The sequence below is a fragment of the Homo sapiens genome, chromosome 20 (assembly GCF_000001405.40).
Source record: "Homo sapiens chromosome 20, GRCh38.p14 Primary Assembly".
Classification (NCBI taxonomy): Eukaryota; Metazoa; Chordata; class Mammalia; order Primates; family Hominidae; genus Homo; species Homo sapiens.
The window spans coordinates 59,915,438-59,933,774 of NC_000020.11; the positions used below are offsets into that span (position 1 = coordinate 59,915,438).

The window sequence follows — 18,337 nt, forward strand, 5'->3', positions numbered from 1 at the left end:
AAAAACCATATAAGTACAGATTATTACATGAGAATTAACATTTCTTGGTTAGAGAGTATTTTCCGGGCATCTTGAGGCATTTTGTCAAGCATAGCATTCATTTTTTTTATAATCTAGAAAAGAAAAAAAGATAATGCATTAACTTTACATTCAGTGAAACACTATTAAGAGAAATATTCTAGGCACATAAACTTAGAAGCCTAATTTTTTCTTAATCACTGAGTTTTATTATGGGAATGGAGTAGGATGGAGGAAAGAATATATAAAGTATAAAATAGGCCAGGCATGGTGGCTCACTATAATACCAGCACTTTGGGAGGCCAAGGCGGGCGGATCACTTGATGTCAGGAGTTCGAGATCAGCCTGGCCAACATAGTGAAACCCCGTCTCTACCAAAAATACAAAAATTAGCTGGGCATGGTAACACGTGCCTGTAATCCCAGCTACTCGGAAGGGAGGCAGGAGAAGCGCTTGAACCTGGGAGGCAGAGGTTGCAGTGAGCTGAGATTGCGCCACTGCACTCCAGCCTAGGCAGATAGAGCAAGACTCTCTCAAAAAAATAAAAATAATAAAGTATAAAATAATGAATATAAAAACAACATAAACTATAGAATATCAAAAATAGAATATAACATGACTCCGATACTTAAAGCACTTGTACTTTTTGCAATAAAACTTGTATTTATTTTAACTCCATTATAAGATCTGAGGAAGCCAAAAAATGTTACTTTATTTTGTTCTTATGATTATAGTACATGTACACACATACATATACTAATACAGATTATTTTTAGCATTTAAATACTTAAGCACCCCAAAAATCTGGTTGGTATAATTTATTTCCACTTGAGCTATATGCACACATAAACCCATATGGTTATAAATTTTCAGTAAGTATTTCGGAAATATGTCAGGCAATAGATTATGATAGAAATATACTCCAAGCTAAGTAATTTTGTCCTACATGAAATAAATTGTCAATTTAATTGCTATTGATTTTCTTCACGTTCTCATTTTTAGTTTTTAAAACACAAATAAATGACTTTACCTCTTGCTGAATACAAATATTCACTCTTGAGTCAATAACCAGGGAACAAATGCGAGGTACGAAACTTTCCACTACTTGTTTTTTACCTGAATAAAAGTGTTAAATTATTGATAAATGTTCATTTCAAATCCTCTTAACTGTCAGTCTTTTCTTATAAGAGTTAGTGGAAAGGGGCCAGGCATGGTAACTCAGGCCTATAATCCTAGCACTTTGGAAGGCCCAGATAGGTAGACTGCTTGAGCCCAGGAGTTTGAGACCAGCCTGGGCAACATGGCAAAATCCTGTCTGTACAAAAATTAGCCGGGCACCTGTAATCCCAGCTACATGGGAGGCTGAGGTGGGAGAATCACCTGAGCCCAGGAGGTCAAAGCTGCAGTGAGCCGTGATCGTGCCACTGTACTCCAGCCTGGGTGAGAGTGAGACCCTGTCTCAAAAAATAAAAATAAATAAAGAGTTAGTGGAAAGGATATACTACTGCAGTTCAGAAGAAGGCCCACCAGGGCTTGGGGATGAGAAAGAATGAAATTAAGTCCTAATTCTACTTGGCCTTGCAAAAAACACCACTCAACAAATGTGACTGATTTTAATACTGTCAAGGGACAACTCTAGATCTAGTTTCTAACTGCAGGCACATAAGGAGGTATTTATTTTTTTTTTTAGATTAAGTAAATATAGTTCAAAATTGAAAACTTCAATTCTAAGGCTTTTACCAAAACTGACCTCATTAATTTTTAGTTATACATCAAAAATTTTTATACCCATAAAGACCAACACATCTTAACCCCAATGAAGTTCTAAATGATGTGAGCCCCTTTTACGTTAACGCATTTTTGAAAGATGAGGCTTTATCAATACTAAGTATATTCAGAGGAATGTGTACATGCTGTTTCATAATGCAAATTTTAAAAATAACTTTAAACAATGGAAATACTGTAACAACAAATGTACAGTTTTCCAAAGTGACTGCATAAAAAGAAAAAAGTACTCAGATGAAAAGATACAATTATTTACTTTAAAAATCAGGTGGATCACTTTACAATTGCTGGTGCTTTAGGATTTTTTCCCTAAAAACTTAAAAATTTAGACTACATTGTTATGTAGCAAAAACAATCAACGAAGAGGTAGGATTAATTATTATTTAAATCAATGGCAATCTGTTTAAAACTTTTTGGCTCTGAAGACAACAAGTACCTTTATTTATAAATAATTCACCAGCCTCATTGACCAATCCTAGGTAAGTCTTCTTCAATCAACACAGAGCTAAAATAAGTTGGATCTGATTGCTTGGCACAAGCAGGCCACAAGTCAAAGAATGAGTAGGAACATATTCTGTATTCTCAATTTACTATTGAAAATTTGTTCCATTAGATCAAAGGTTGGCAAACTATGGCCCACGAACTAAATGCAACTCACTGCCAGTTTTTGCATGACTGTATTACTCACCAGCAAGTGCTCTGTGAAAACTATTTGAATCTATCATGTTTTATTAAAACAGTAGTGTCAAAGGTGAACATCATTCACTCTTGTCAGTTTACCCATGGTCAGTTCTTTGAATTTTTGTCAGAAGCAGAAGCTGAGTATTCTGACTTTCCCTACCACACAGCAGTCCAATGGCAGTGGGGTTTTATTGTGACTTTTTGATATCCAGCACCAAGACTGAAATTTTTCTGAACAAGAGCTGTCCTCAACCTTTATTGCTGAATACTGAATGGCTTTGGTAATTAGCACTGGCTGCAGAGTTGACAATGTTTCTAAATGAACTGGGCACAAAATTACAAGATAAAATTATGCTTGCATCATGAACTTAACACTGCAGTGAAGTCATTCTGATAACTAAGGTGATCTGAAAGGCAAGCAATGCTATGCTGCTTTATACACTTCACAGACTGTCAAAACAGGAAGCAACATCTCCATTTCCACACAAATTTGCAGGGAATATATTTTTTCCAAACTCCAACTACAGGTCTAGCAGTGTTTTTGGGCTTTGTTGTAAGTACAAAGGAAATTTCCACATTTCAAAATCCATTTAATTGTGCAACTGGGAAGCTTCCACATAACCTTCAATTGGAAGTGATTAATTTGCAATGCAATGACATTCTAAAATGCAAATGTTAAGAACCTAACAATTCTATTAATGCCTTTCAAGTGATGAACACGCTCAATTAAAAGCATGCTTATGCACTGATATCAGTATTTGGCATTGTCTGCATGAAAAGCCATTTTCTAATGTGACATACATAAAACCTCATTATAGACAGGGATTAACAAATGAACATTTACAATCAATTTTGAAAACAGAACACTAACTCTGAACCCTAATTAAATGAAATGTTATTCTCTCGCAAAAAGAATGCAAGTTTCATTATTAGTAGACCTATATTACAAAAAATTGTACAACTATTATATTTTCAATGGCATCAATAAATTATTCATAGAAATTTGTTTTTCTTTCTTGTTATACAAGTACCCTACATAATATTCTTAATTGTTTTTCTCTTGGACTACAAAGTCTAAAATATTTATTATCTGGCCCTTTACAGTAAAAGTTTGTTGATCCTTGAATCAGATAATGAGTTCTTAATACTAGGACAACACAATGGGAATTGTAAAATTATACTAAAACTCTAACAGTAAAATTTATTGTTCCAATAGAAAATAAGTGTTTATTATACCTTCATCACTGACATCATGTATGACCTGAAAAAAAGTGAATAATATTTAATTTACAAGTTACTATATATTACAAACCATTACAATATTATAAACCATTACAAATGGTATTGAAATGACAGATTACATTTTAACTCAGAGCATAATTACTTTTTATTAACTAACCATTTAATTATATTTACCAGAATAAATGCTTTATACAATCTGAACAGACCAATCCAACCAAGTCACCAACCAATCTGTTAGTGACTTTTAGGCTCAGGGCACAGAGAACACAAATTGTTTTTTAAATAAACACATGCTTTATAAATATCAGTGTAATCAATGTGATTTTTACCAGCAGAAGATCAACTAAGTCTTCTATCATATTTAGAACAGCTTCATCTTTTGAATTTCCTTGACTCTGAATAATGTCCTTGGATTTTTCAAACCAGGCAACCATGTAAAAAAAGGAATGAACTTATTAGAGTTCCATTTTAATAATTTTAAGAATGTACTTATCTATCTTTGCATAAACAGTAAACCTAGGAATAAAGACACATCAAAATTAAAATTTTAGTGTTGTATCAAAATAAATTCATGTTTTTAAAGATCTTCCTTGTTTTTTTTTAACTATCTTTTCCCATTGTTTAAAATGGGAATAGATGAAGTTAATTTTGATTCCATGTAGAAGATCCTTATTTCTCCTTCAAATTCCTAGTTAGGGTACGTTTATTATAATAGAAGGAAGTAAATTATCATCACAATTTAGACCATTTTGATATTGTTACTATATGAAAAGTTTTCATATTATTTTACCTTAATTTAGATATTTGAGTACATACATCTCAGATACTATTCTAGGTGCCAATAATGTAGCAATGAACCAAAGAGACAAAAATCAATACCCTACATGCTAGCATGGGAGACAGACAAACAATATAAAAACAAAAAATGAAGTTAGATAATAAGAGTTAAAGAGACAATAAAGCAAGTCAAGGCCTTAGGGAGCTTAAACTCACATGATTACCAAGGAGTCTGTCTTTGTACAGTTTGTGATCTTTATATTTGTAACATATATCACAAGTTATAGAAATGTTTTATTCCCAAAATTGTACATAAAGTTCCTAAATTTATTTTCAACAATTTGGATAATTTCTTACTAGAAAGCATATCTTTTATAATATTTCATTCACATGAATATGTTACATATTCTATACTTATCTTTTGTATTAGTCCTTGTTTTATCATCGTTAGAAGTCCAGCTTGCCCCAATACACTGATATTTTTGCCACATCTTCCAACAGAAACCAAAATGGCTGAAACATTGTGGATATCCTCTTTATTAAGTTCCTGAAATAAAAGGTATACATTAAAATTTCTGTAAACACAAAACAGTATGAAATAGACATTGTACAAGGAGTGTTACACATATATTTTAATCTTCACAAATCCTGAAAGATGGTCATTTTAATCATCTCTATATTGCAACAGATGAAAATGTGGTTTAAGAATGTGACCTGCCCAAAGCCATACAGTCAGGGAATGACAAACTCAGGACAAAAATGGAAATCTGTATAAATCCAAGAAACTTTATACTATGATACAATGAATCAGCAACTTTCCATTCTAAAAAGCTCCATGTATTTAACTAACAGAAACAAGAAATTTTTATTCAATTTCTTGGATTCATAATGAATCTCAGATACTGGGGTAAGGGGATTATCAATAATCACCTTTTCTCATGTATGAAAATGCCTTAAATATGATTAAATTCAAAGTTTGGGGTGATTTTTCTATGTTTTAGTTTTGACAGAAGTAGGCATTGCCTATGTAACATCAAGTATACACTGATAGGTTTTTTTTAAAAATCTATGAACTTGTTTAAACTTCAAAGAGCTAAAGTATTTTTTCCCCAGTTTCAGCCACAGTTAATAGTAAAGCCCTTGTGAACACATATTTTTGTATATTTTATTTGGGAAATGACATTCCAATGTGTTGAGATTCCTCAAACAAACAAACAATAATAAGCAAATGGTGAAATAAGCATTTATTTATATAATTATGACTGAGCTTGCCCAAGCCTATTCATTTTTTTCTAATGGAGTACTTCCTTCTAAAACTAGAGTTCTATCTAATAATTGTAACAATCATTCAGCAAAAATGAATATTTACCCTGCATATAAGGTTGTCCACCTTGTGGAAAAACTGTTTGCTGCATTTAATCTTCACATCTTCACAAATATCAATTTGCAAAAGTGTTTTCAAAGGTTTGAAATCATTTTTTCTTAAAGCATCATCAATGCATTTTTCCAACTGCTAGAGAAATATATTTAATGGCACATACTGTATCAAAACCAAAATTAATTACCTTATGCAATCTAGTAATTTGAGAACCGTTTTCACATGAAAACTCTCAAATGAACTCATAAAATATTAATTCACGTATTTTTTAAAAATATGGCCACTATTAAATTTGGAACAACTGAATTAGAAATTACATTTCTTTGATAATATGATTAGAAAAAAATATTTTATTAATATTTCCAATTCATATCTTTTATTACTAAGGTCATCTTTATGTCAACCTCAACAGAAACTTGATGAAAAAAGCAAAAAAATTTTAAAGTAACGAACACTTAAACCAAGAATAAAAGCCTAGCATACCTGACTACTAATCTCTTAACGGGGTTGAAATAGTAAAGAAAAAAATACATAAAGACAGGCAAAAGCACCTTTTAGAAATTATGCCAACTAACATAAATTAAGCATTACCATTATATAATATTTATAACATTATTAAAATCTGCCATCCTTGCTATTAAAGTACAACTTCATTAATAACAAATGTTCATACTACAACCTGATCACTAAACAGGTTTGGCTGTGAACTGCATACATGTTGAATAGATTATTAACACTTACACTTTACCTAAATACACAATATCTTAACCTCTAAAACTTAATACAAAAATATCCAAGCATAAATTATGCATGAATCAGTGCATAATTCTTTTCAATGTAAAAGGTAGGTATAAAGAATCAGCATTTTTAATACTTTATAAATATTCTTAACATAGCTTTTGCAAACATCTAATGAATACATGAAAGGACACTTTATTTAAACTATTCTTGACCATTTCATAAAAACATGTAAGCTTTATCATTGCTAAAAACATAGCACTGAATACCTATAAGTAAACAAAAAGTGATTTTCAGAATGAAAATACTTACTTTTGGTCTAGGACTACATACCTGGAGATCTGGTCTTATTGGCATTTTGACTTCATTTAAAAAAAAAAAAAAAGCAAGACAAAATAAACACCTATAAAAGAAAACATATATTTTCTGTATCTCACAATCTGTTTCATGTGTTTATCAGTTTAAATATCTTACACACATAAATATGCATTTGTTATTTATACCAAAGGCAACATTAACTTCCTCACTAAACACCTGTTTATTAAATTACACATTTGAATATGATCAAATAAGTTTCTAGAGAAAAGCCTGAAGATCATTTAGTCAAGCTCTTCCTTTTTATAGATTACTTAAATTAATGTCAAATATCCTGCCAAAAGGTCACAAAGCTAGTTAGTGAAAGAATAACCTGGATCTCCCTTTCCAGTGATTCCCTGCTATACTTGTTCCACCTCTGAGAACAAGGAAAAAAAAAAACTCTTGAATTAATGTGCAAATGAAATTTGGGCTATTAATATTCAAGAAAGGAGGAATATGCAGATATACTAACAATGAACAGGATCAAAATATGCAAGGAAAGGAGTGAGGAAAAGATAACTCAAATGCATTTCATATGTCCACAAGAGTGTTCAGGAAAGAAAGAACTCCCAGTTTCTGGTTGAATGCTGAAATTAAGGTGAGGACCTCACTTTCCCAAAGTTATCTGGGTCCTTAAAGACCATGGGATGCAAATACAAATAACTGCCACAAATTAATATATTGCAATATGGCTAATAGAAAATATCCACCAGGTTCTAAAGAGAGATTCCATGCTTATGAAAACAGGACCAAAAATAGATTAAATCACTTCAAACAATCCTATCTTGTGTGTTTCTGACAAAGATCAAAGATAAACGTCATTGATTCTCCCTGCCATGAACACCTAAGGAATTAACATTATTTTGGTCAAGAAAATGCAAATCATTGCTGTAGTCTTCCTCAAAGCTCTGTATCCCTATTGTGTTTTGTAGAATATGCATAATTATTTGCCTGTCTTTTTTGGAACAAAGTACTAAGGTTATTCTGAGAGGAACCATGTGCCTGATAGTATTATTCATTTATAAATAATAAAGTCTGATGATTATGTTTCTTACCATCTCATTTTAATAATTATGGGAATTTTTTTTTTAAATATTGTATGTTACAAAACTCCATGTCTACAAAAAAATTTTTTTTTAATTAGCTGGGTATAGTGGTGTGTGCCTGTAATCCCAGCTACTCTGGAGGCTGGGGTGAGAAATTGCTTGAGCCTAGAAGTTGAAGGTTACAGTGAGCTATGACTACAACACTGTACTCTAGCCTAGTCAAGAGAGGGAGACTCTGTCTCTAAAATAAACAAAAAGAATGCATGTCATCATTTCTAAGGTAACCACTAAATGAGTAGTGAAAGAATACGTAACTACTAAGCTAAGTGTGAGGAGGGAGGCTGTAATGTTTTCATTTTAATCAATCCAGAGAGAGAGAGAGAAACAGAAAGAGACCCAGAAGAAGAAAGAAAAACAGACAACACAAAGTAAGGTGATAGATTAAAAGTTACATATCAATAATTACATTGAAAGTAAAATATATTAAATACTCTGAAGAAGTAAGAATGTCACCCTCCCAATATGCTGCTCTGACATATTGACTATTTTAAATTAAAGGCACTCAACAAAAAACAGCAGGTACAAGATCACTCCCACCTTCATTCTGTTTCCTAAAAGCAGGAAATGAAATTCCCATGTGAAAGATGTCCTCTCTATACCAAAAGAGAAGTAATCTTATAATTAAGGAGGGGAAGTTAAAATTAAGAAAATCTGTACAACCAAACTTTGTTAAACCCACTCCTATCTTCCTAGTCATTTCTCCACCCAATTAACTACCCTAGCCTAAGGCCTCTTTGCCTTATCTTAGTTCACAACTTACTATTCTTTGTCCAATTCAGTATATAACTGACCCTAACTACTTCTTTGGGTCTTCATGTTCTTATGAGGGATCCTGTGTCATGTAAAACATGTATTAAAGAAATTTGTGTGTTTTTCTCCAGTTGATCTGTCTATGTCAATTTAACTCTAAAAGGGAAGAGGTAAAGTTTTGCCTCCCCTACAACTCCAATTAAAAGGCAGATTGTCCTCAAAGGATCAGTGCTTGAGGGATGGATACCCCATTCTCCATAATGTGCTCATTTAACATTGCGTGCCTGTATCAAAACATCTTACATACTCCATTGACACCTACTATGTACCCACAAAAATTAAAAAGAAAAAAGTTGGATTGTCGGGTAGGTTAATCATTTTTAAAACTATATGCTGTCCAAAAATATTATATTTTAAGAGATATACCTTAAATAAAGGGCTACAAAACAGTTGGAAATAAAAAGAAAAGATAGCTACCACACAAACAAAAGAAAGCTAATAAAACTATATTACTGTTGGATTTACCATAAAAGTCCAACACAGATGGTACTGAAAAGAGAATCCAGAAACAGACCTATACACATGACTTGACTTATGATCAAGGTAGAACATAAAGCAGTAAGGAAAGGGTAAGATAATCTTTTCAATTAATCTATACTGTTCAACTGGATGTTCATAAGAAATATAACAAAACCTCACTACTTCATACCATCTCATACCATATGCAAACACCATTTCCAGGTGGAATGAAAATTGAGAACAATTAAGTTTCTAGAACATAATATATTAGAACATCTTCATGACCTGCAATAAGCAATAAGCAAGATTATAAAAAGCTCTAACCATAAAAGACAACTGATAAGTTGGACAACCTTAAAATCAGAAACTCTTGTTCAATGAGAACACATGGATACAGGGAGGGGAACAACACACACTGGTGCCTGGTGGGGCAGCAGGAGGGAGAGCATTAGGAAAAATGGCTAATGCATGCTTAGTTTAATACTTACAGGTTGATAGGTGCAGCAAACCACCATGACACACATTTTCCTATGCAACAAACCTGCACATCTTGCACATGTAGCCCAGAACTTAAAATAACCTATTGATTTTCTCAATCCATGAGCATAGGATTTAACAAAAGAAAGAACTCTGTTGGAAAACATCATTGAGAGAACAAGGCAGGCCACACAGATGAAAGTATTTTTCTCTTGTACATTATTCACATGTGTGAATATTCACAACTGTTACTAAGTTATCTGGTTATCAGTTAATGTAAACATACTCTTGGAAACATGAACTGAATAAAAGGGTCCTATTTTGGCACCTCAGCCTATTTAATGTCATAGCCTCTGACCTTCCACCTTCAAAAGAGTCTATAACTCTGACCAGTTGCCTCACTTGTTAACGTATTGCCCTGGTAACAAGGTTATAATTGACATCTTTGATTCCTAAATGTTTTAAATAGAGGGAAGATTTCCTCATCAAACAGAGGATTACTGGGACTACTACTGCTCCCAAATGCATGTAGGTACTATAATTTATTATCAATCTGTTAGATTTCTTTTTTTAAGAAAACCAGAAGTTCATGAGTGTTCATTTAGATGAAGTGAAGCAGAACAATACTGCCTGCTTTAAAACCTCACTAGTTTGTCAAAACCTCACAGAGAACTGTGGAAATAATAGCTCTGAATTTATGTTTGTCTATAGGCTCAGAATTCTTCCTAACCCCACCTCCTAGTATTAAGGAAACAAACTTTAGAAGTAACAAAAGCAGCTTCCATTCAGGAATCTGCTGGGAGACAGTCTCCAGCCAAAACAAATATGGATTGAAGGAGGAACCTTCTCCTGTAAGACAGGTTTCATAAATCCAATAAATTCCATAAGGGATGGAATTGTGCCAACTGCCTCTGTAACAAGAAGAAAAATGTTTGCTCACAGCTATGTGTGGACTCTCACTGTATTAATTTCCTAGGGTTGCCTTAACAAAGTGCCACAAACTGGATGGCTTAGAACAGCAGAAATTATCTCAGTGTGGAGGCAAGACGTCTAAAGTAAAGGGGTCAGTAGGATCATACTCCCTCTGAAAGTGCTGGAAGAAGGATCTTTAAGCTTCTGGTAGCTGCCGACATTCTTTGACTTGTGGCAGTATAAATCCACTCTCTGCCTCCTTTATCACATGGTATTCTTCCTTTTACTTTTCACATTGTCTTCTATGCATATCTGTATCCAAATTTCCCCTTTTTATAAATATATATTGGGTTAGGGCCCACCCTAATAACTTAAATAATAAGTTAATAACTTAACTTGGTTAAATGCAAAAGACCCTATTTCCAGAAAAGGTCACATTCTGAGATACTGGGAATTAGAATCTCACATATCTTTTTAGGGGAACACAATTCAACCCATAACAGTCACTACATAAAGCCCAAACTTAATATTGGAATGCCAAAAACATGGGATTCAAAGAAGAAATAAAAGTTGAGGTTTTGAATGTACTGGGTGGGGAAGGAAAACATGTCATATAAGAGCTAGTAACCAGGGCAGCCTGGGTTACCCCCTTGCACATAAGGCAGCAATGCCATTACAGGGTGACATAATTATAGAAATTTTCCTCAAATGTAGTGCCAAAATTAGCCTCTTGCTGAAATATTTTCTCCATTTCAATTAAAGTGAAACAAGTCAGATTCTGGATAACTGACAGAGACTGGTCTACTGGAAATATATACCAGAACTTTGGCATTGGACAAACAGTTTCTGAGAACATATAACTGGTACTTCCTTTCCATGGAAAACAGCTGAAGCTACAGCTGATGAAAGAACTCCAACTCCACCAAAGAATCTGACTGCACTTGAACGTAATGAGATTTGTTGAGAATGTGTCTTTGGGACTTAAAAGTTTTGGCCTTTAGACTTTTAAATTCAGAAGCACAAAAAAAGGATTCTGGACACTTAAATCTTTCAGTCCTTGGTCTTTAACTTGTAAAGGGTTTTAATCTTGCAACCTTAATGTTCCCTGAGATGTTCAAAACAGAAAATCTTTACATTCAAATTTGTTGGCATTTTACTGCTGAAACATCTTTATGTATTGCCAAATACCTTTGTTCAGTATAGTACATCAAAGGCTCTACCATATATCTAGAGATAATTTGGAATGGGAAGTAAAACAGTGACATTTCTGCCTCAGATATAGAGTGGCATTAGGTTTCAATTTTCTGTTCTAACCCAAAGTAGAATCTTCTTCCAGGGTCAACATCTAAAGTTCTTCCACAATCCAAAGAGAATACCCAAAAGAAGGTAATGGCCTCATGAAGAAAGGAAAAGAACCATCCAGATAAATCTCCTCCAAAAAACAGGTTAATAATTAAGTGAACAAAAAGCTAGGAAATGTTAGAGAGAAATACCTTTTCCCTACTCCTAGCTTCCGTGAGAAAGACTGAGTATACCATCGGCCTCTCTCTATTTCTTTAATTTACATCACCACTGAGGAGCTGGAAATATTTGATTGGTAAATTTGGGAAGGAAAATGAGCCAGGCTCAGCTCAGGCTCACCCTTTTGTTTACATGAAAACTGAAAGAGGAGTTTCATGTTGTTTTCAGTTTTGTTCCTTCTGGAAGCTCTGCCCCTGTGAGAAAGTCAGTATTTTGTTCTGTCCTTTTTTTCTGGAGTCAATACAGTAAGCTTTCTCTTCCAGGGTGGAAGGTGAAAAATGCAGGGCTGGAAAGGTCTAACTCAATTACCTTGCAGTGCCTTGGGCAGTAAGTTTGCTCAATTCTGGAGCTCAGTATTAGCAAATTCACTAGGCCAACAACCTAAACTCACACCCATGAACCTAGCCAATATAGGACTAATGAAGGTTACGTTTCTTTTCCTACTCTGTCAGAACCCAGGAAGAAAGAGGAATGCTGTTTATCAGAGGACCTTTGAGAGATTCCAGCGAGGCTCAACATAAATATCTACAGTGTTCCTTTTTATATTAGCAATAATCAGACAATTGCATTTTTTAATATAAATAACTAAAATGAATAAATCTAACAAAAAGATCTTAACAAGAGATATGAATACATGGAGTTGTTCCTATTCATTAATGGAAGGACTTAACATTATAAAACCATCAATGCTTCACTAAAATAAACATCTGAATTTCTAAACTCCAAAGCAATTCCAGTAAAAATCACAAAATAATAATTTGAGAGATTTGGCTAATTCTTTTAAAACATGTATGGAGGAATAATGCTGCTCTAATACTAAAATAACTTTTAAAATATTAGAGAAGAAAAATCACCTTATTTGATATTAAAACATATTACAAAGTCACAAGAAATAACTATAAACAGTGAAGTATTAAGAATGGAAAACAAATGGATCAATAAAACAAAACAGAATTCAAACACATAAGCATATATTGGAAGTTCATATTTGAGTCAGATGGTTTCGCAAATCGGGAAAGGTAAACTGGTCAATAAATGGTCTGGGAAAAGTGACTTGGCATGTGGAAAAAATAACATTAGAAATCTATTTTGCCATAAAAAAATAAGGTCTAGATAAATTAACTACATGAATGTAAAAAGTAAATGTTTATAAACTATTAGCAGAAAATTCAGGAGGCTATCACTAAGATGTTCCAAGAGGAAAGAATTTAAAACAAATGCACAAAACATAAAAAGTAATAGATTTTAACTTTTTGTGCATCACTGTTTGTAAAAGAGAGGCAGCATACTAGGAAGACATTTGCAATGGAATAAGAGACTAAGGATTAACATAAAAAGTATTATTATGAAGAACTTAACAAATCAAGGAGGAAAAAAAAGCAATAACCCAACAGCAAAAATGGAAAAGAAGAAGAGGTCATTCAGAAAGTAAAACTCAACTGGCTAATAAAGAAATGAAAATGCTACCTCCATGGTAATCAGAATGCTAGTAAAACAATAACCAGTCCCCTCTCCACCATCCACCATATTGGCAAAAACTAAAGAGACTGATACTACGAAGTCACAGTGGGAATAAAGGAAATTGGAAATCATGTATGTACTCCTGGTGGGAAGCAAATAACTGCACTTTGAAAAAGAGTTTGATAGCATTGGGTAAAAATGTAAACTTGAATACCATATGACACAGTAGTTCCACTTCTAATTTTACACTTTAGAGAAACTCAGAAGCACAAAGGGAATATAAAAATATTTACTGAAGCATTTCTTCTAATATCAAGAAACTGAAAACTGCCTCTGTCAGTGTGTTGGGTGAGGAGGTAAACATGAAATGTGGTGAGTGATGCAACTGAATTCAGTAGCTGAATATAATGAAGAAGATCTGTATCTCAGAATATGGTGCATCTCAAACACAATATAAAGCATAAAAAATGCAGAATGAGATAATAGAAATTCTTTATGTAAAATCTAAAGTATACTTAATAAAGGCTTATATGCACTGTTATTGATATGTGTATATCTGTGTAACACCAGAGGATACTTTATTAAAGAAGGATACAAATACTGGGCATATGAACATTGGATGATTTGCACAGGTAAAGAAAATAACCCTAGGGATAGGGAATAAAATGGACCAAAAGACAAAAAAAAAAAGAGAATTTTAATTATTTATTTAGAGGAGTGTAGTAAAGCATGGTGTCTAGACTGAGAATACAATTGATTAAATTAACTTAATTCTGTTTCCTAAGGTTCAACATACACTCATATATACCCTTTCAATCACCACAACCATTAGGACAGAGCAAAAGGGGCCCCTGCTATGCGCTCTATATAGTGTAATCTCTTTCTCACTATCTCTTATTACTGAGCACACAGGCATCTCTATTAGCTCAAAATCCAGGACTCAGCCCTACCCCCAGAAAGTCTATAACCATGAACACATTATTCATTCTCATAACTCTATCTTTCAGGCCCCTGAACTTCCTTTGCCTATGCCTATGAAAGAAGAGGACTGCAATTAATTACACTATTCTGCTTACTTTACGTATGTCCGAATTTTCCATAATAATAAAAAAAAAATGCTTAAAGAAGTCGGGGAGTGTGAAGCCACAATTGAATACAGAGAAGGTTTCAGATTGTGCTAATGCTAACATTTTAGTCTCTGCTTCAGAACAAAGATAGCATGTGAGCAAGTGCTTAGGTAAGAGAAAAGAGATATTGTCAAATCCTTCCCCTGCAAAGCAAGAACACAGATGATTCTTGCATGACAAGATACTACTTCTTAACAGTGCCAAATGCCCATCTTCTTCCTTCTCTTTTTACTCCAATTTGTGACTCTAGAAATACTAGCAAATTAGTGCACAGTATTTGCAACAGTAGCACATGGTGGCTGAGGAACATTCTGTAGTAGTAAGCAATCTATATTAATATATATGTAGATCTAGACATGAACTACGTGAACATGATATGGACTCTTTAGACAGTAAGCAAACACTAAAATAGTGAATAAATGTATTGTTATAATATTTAATAATATGCAATTATTCAAAAATAAGCAATTCCGGTGTTATTAAAATTTTTTAAGGAAACAATTACAATTCTACAATAATTTTAATATTTAAGAATTTTTTAAAGAAAAATACTTTTTACACCTATTTTATGTTTGTGATATAAACCCAAATTTGATACATTTTGAGTATAACACATTTTGAGTAATTACAGTTTTAACCCTTAGATCATGGCTGTCAATAGTAAATAAGTAAAAGTCTTCATTATAACATGATTTTTAAAATAAAAATGAACTATATATAGTAACTTATGAATTATGTAAGTATTTTATCACTTATTCAAAGATTACCAGTCCATCATCAGATATCCATAATAAATGCATTCAGTTATCTTTGGTACTTTTCAGGATTCAGTCATAAAAATAATAGCCTTGGCTGGTGGCTTATGTCTGTAATGCTGGTGGCTAGCACTGTGGGAGGCCCAGGCAAGAGGACTGCTTGAGCCCAGGAGCTCCAGACCAGCATGGGCAACATGGTGAGATCCTATTTCTACAAAAATAAAAGTTAGCCTGGCCTGGTGGATCGCAGCTGTGGTCTAGCTAATCAGGAGGCTGAAGTGAGGTCCAGGTTTCAGTGAGCCATGTTCACGCTACTGCACTCCCACCTCGGCGGCAGAGCAAGACCCTGTCTCAATAATAATCATCATAGCCATACATGTAGTTTTCTGTTTTGATGCAGTGAAGGTGTATTTGTGAAATTTGAGACTATTTTATTTTACAATGTGAAAACTTGATTTAAAACTTTAAATACTTAAAATATGTTGTGGGGGCTCCATTTATACTCTTACCCTAGGGCCAGCAACTGTTGAGGCAGGCTTGCCCATTAGCTATGCTTTATCTGTTTTCAGAACTAAAGCAATTTGAAACAGTGTATTTTACAAAATGCCCTGAGACATTAATTACAGCACAGAAAAAAGTACAGCCAAAGAGGCACATAAAGCTAACAAGATGGTTTTAGTTTCTAATCTACTTTTGCACGAAGTCAGTTGGGGAAAAACAAACCAAGGAAAGCAAACTGAATAATCAGGTTACACACACACACACACGCATGCCTCAAAGCTGAATGCATACAGGCCACAATAGAGTCAAAAGCACAGCACTATCCACAACATCAAACAAGTTAACATTTGCAAGTGAAAGAGAAGGCTAACTCTAAAAAGAAACAAAAGTTATACACTTATTTTTTCCAGCCTCATAAGGAAACAATTTAAAAGATCTTTAGGAACTACTACTATGTAACAGAACGACTTCGGAAACCGAGAACAGAATAATAATGTTTCAAGAGAAGCGTGGATTTACCTGACAAGTAAGCAGGCTCTGGGCTCCAGTCTACTGAACTGGGGGACTGGTTAGCGAGCAACACAGAGAACTAGTAAGATGATGATTGTGTATCTGCAGGCAGATAAAAGCGTTACGGATAAAAACAACAACAAAGAAAACAATTTGGCAGATGGGGGAGGCAAAGATTTTCCCCCAAAGGAAAAACTGCTGAATGAATGCAAGCAGCAGTAGATAATTCAAAGTCCCCTCTGCCCTGGTAACTAACATAGCTAAGGTGTCCAAAAAGACATTAAAGGTGAATGAAGGGGAGGGAAGGCGTCCTCCTCCTCCCATCATTACTAAAAAATGTAGGCCGGGCGAGGTGGCTCACACCTGTAATCCCAGCACTTTGGGAAGCCGAGGCAGGTGGATCACCTGAGGTCAGGAGTTCGAGACCAGCCGGGCCAACATGGAGAAAACCCGTCTCTACTAAAAATACAAAATTAGCTGGGCGTGGTGGCGCGCCAAGTAGTCCCAGTTACTCCGGAGGCTGAAGCAGGAGAATCGCTGGAACCCGGAAGATGGAGGTTGCAGTGACGCGAGATCGCACCACTAAACTCCAGCCTGGGTGACAGAGCGAGACTCCGTCTCGGGAAAAAAAACAACAAAAAAAAACCACGCTGCCGTATTCGCAGATGCTCGGCCAGCCTGGAGCCCGGTCCAGAAAAGGCCGCACGTGGAGCCACGTGTCGCGCATTGAGCCGCCGCGGGACGCATCAGGCCCAGCTGCGCGGAGGGGCTGGCGGCCTCAACCGCAAGGAGAGGCCGCAGGTGGGGACGGCGGGAGGGAGAGAAGGGACTGAAGGCGCCGAGCAGGAGGAAGGTTTTGCGCGCACTCCCTTCTTCCCTAAGTGGAACCGGCAGTGGCAACAACGAGGCCGAAGGCGAAGTCCCTGCTCCCACCGCCGGCACGGTGACCCTTTTCCCAGGGTCACCCCCGAACCAACAAAGCACACACACACCCGAGATGCGCCCCAGGCCGCAGCGCCAACCCCCCTTCAGATGTCCCGGAGACAGGCGAGCAGCGGTCCCCAGGGCTCCCGTCGCCACCGCTTCTCCCGCACCCCTCAGCCTCCTCGGGCCGGCGACGCGCGCAGCCCCAGGCCTGCTCCCCGCTCGCCAAGCGCACCGCCCCGCGCCTCAGCCACCTTGACCGAGTCGCCCACGCGCGGGGGCGGCTCCGAGCGCCCATTTCCCATCCCCGAGGCCGAGGCTGGCCAGGCAGGTGCTGATGGGGAGCCTCGCGCCTGCGCGAGCCACCCTCGCCGCGAACTCTGCACAGCCCACGCCCTGGCCCAGCCTCGGCGCCTCCCCTCCGCCCACTGCCGCAGAACCGCACCCCCTCCCCCTCGGCAGCTTCCACAACGGCTCCGCCTCAACCGTCGGAAGCTTCTCGCCTGCCGGCTTGAAAGGCCAAGCCGAAGCCCCACCCTCCCTCCGCGCCCCGCCGTGGGGGAAGCCCACCCAGGCACTCTGCTCAACCTGCCTGCGGCAGGAGGCGTCCGCGTAGTGTCGGTGGAGCCGCCCCCTATGCCGCCGAGCGTCGCAACTCTGCGCCTCAGGGACCGCCGCAGCGCCTCCGGCGAACGGCGGAAGGCGGGAAGCGCCCGTCCAATCCGCGCCAGGTGCGGTCGATAGTGCGTCCAATCGGCGTCGCCGCCAGCCAGGTCCCGCCCCCCCCATCCCCCCCAC

At 36.3% G+C, this 18,337-nt stretch overlaps 1 protein-coding gene across 12 annotated transcripts in view; it reads right to left on the reverse strand.

Annotated features, from left to right (window-relative positions):
* Nucleotides 1–18,200, reverse strand: part of SYCP2 (synaptonemal complex protein 2) — a 70,067-nt gene extending 51,867 nt beyond the window's left edge. For 4 of the 12 annotated variants that reach the window (XM_047439828.1, XM_047439827.1, XM_047439826.1 and 1 more), the window contains exons 1-9: nucleotides 18,132–18,200; nucleotides 16,625–16,717; nucleotides 6,932–7,022; nucleotides 5,873–6,016; nucleotides 4,922–5,050; nucleotides 4,056–4,160; nucleotides 3,721–3,745; nucleotides 1,049–1,134; nucleotides 28–113 (exon numbers count right to left, since the gene is read on the reverse strand). In XM_047439828.1, coding sequence (XP_047295784.1) covers nucleotides 28–113; nucleotides 1,049–1,134; nucleotides 3,721–3,745; nucleotides 4,056–4,160; nucleotides 4,922–5,050; nucleotides 5,873–6,016; nucleotides 6,932–6,976 — 620 coding nt within the window. In that variant the 5' untranslated portion in view covers nucleotides 6,977–7,022; nucleotides 16,625–16,717; nucleotides 18,132–18,200. Of the gene's footprint in view, nucleotides 1–27; nucleotides 114–1,048; nucleotides 1,135–3,720; nucleotides 3,746–4,055; nucleotides 4,161–4,921; nucleotides 5,051–5,872; nucleotides 6,017–6,931; nucleotides 7,023–16,624 lie in introns of those variants that run through there. The other 8 variants (XM_011528490.4, NM_014258.4, XM_017027587.2 and 5 more) reach the window with 8 other exon arrangements.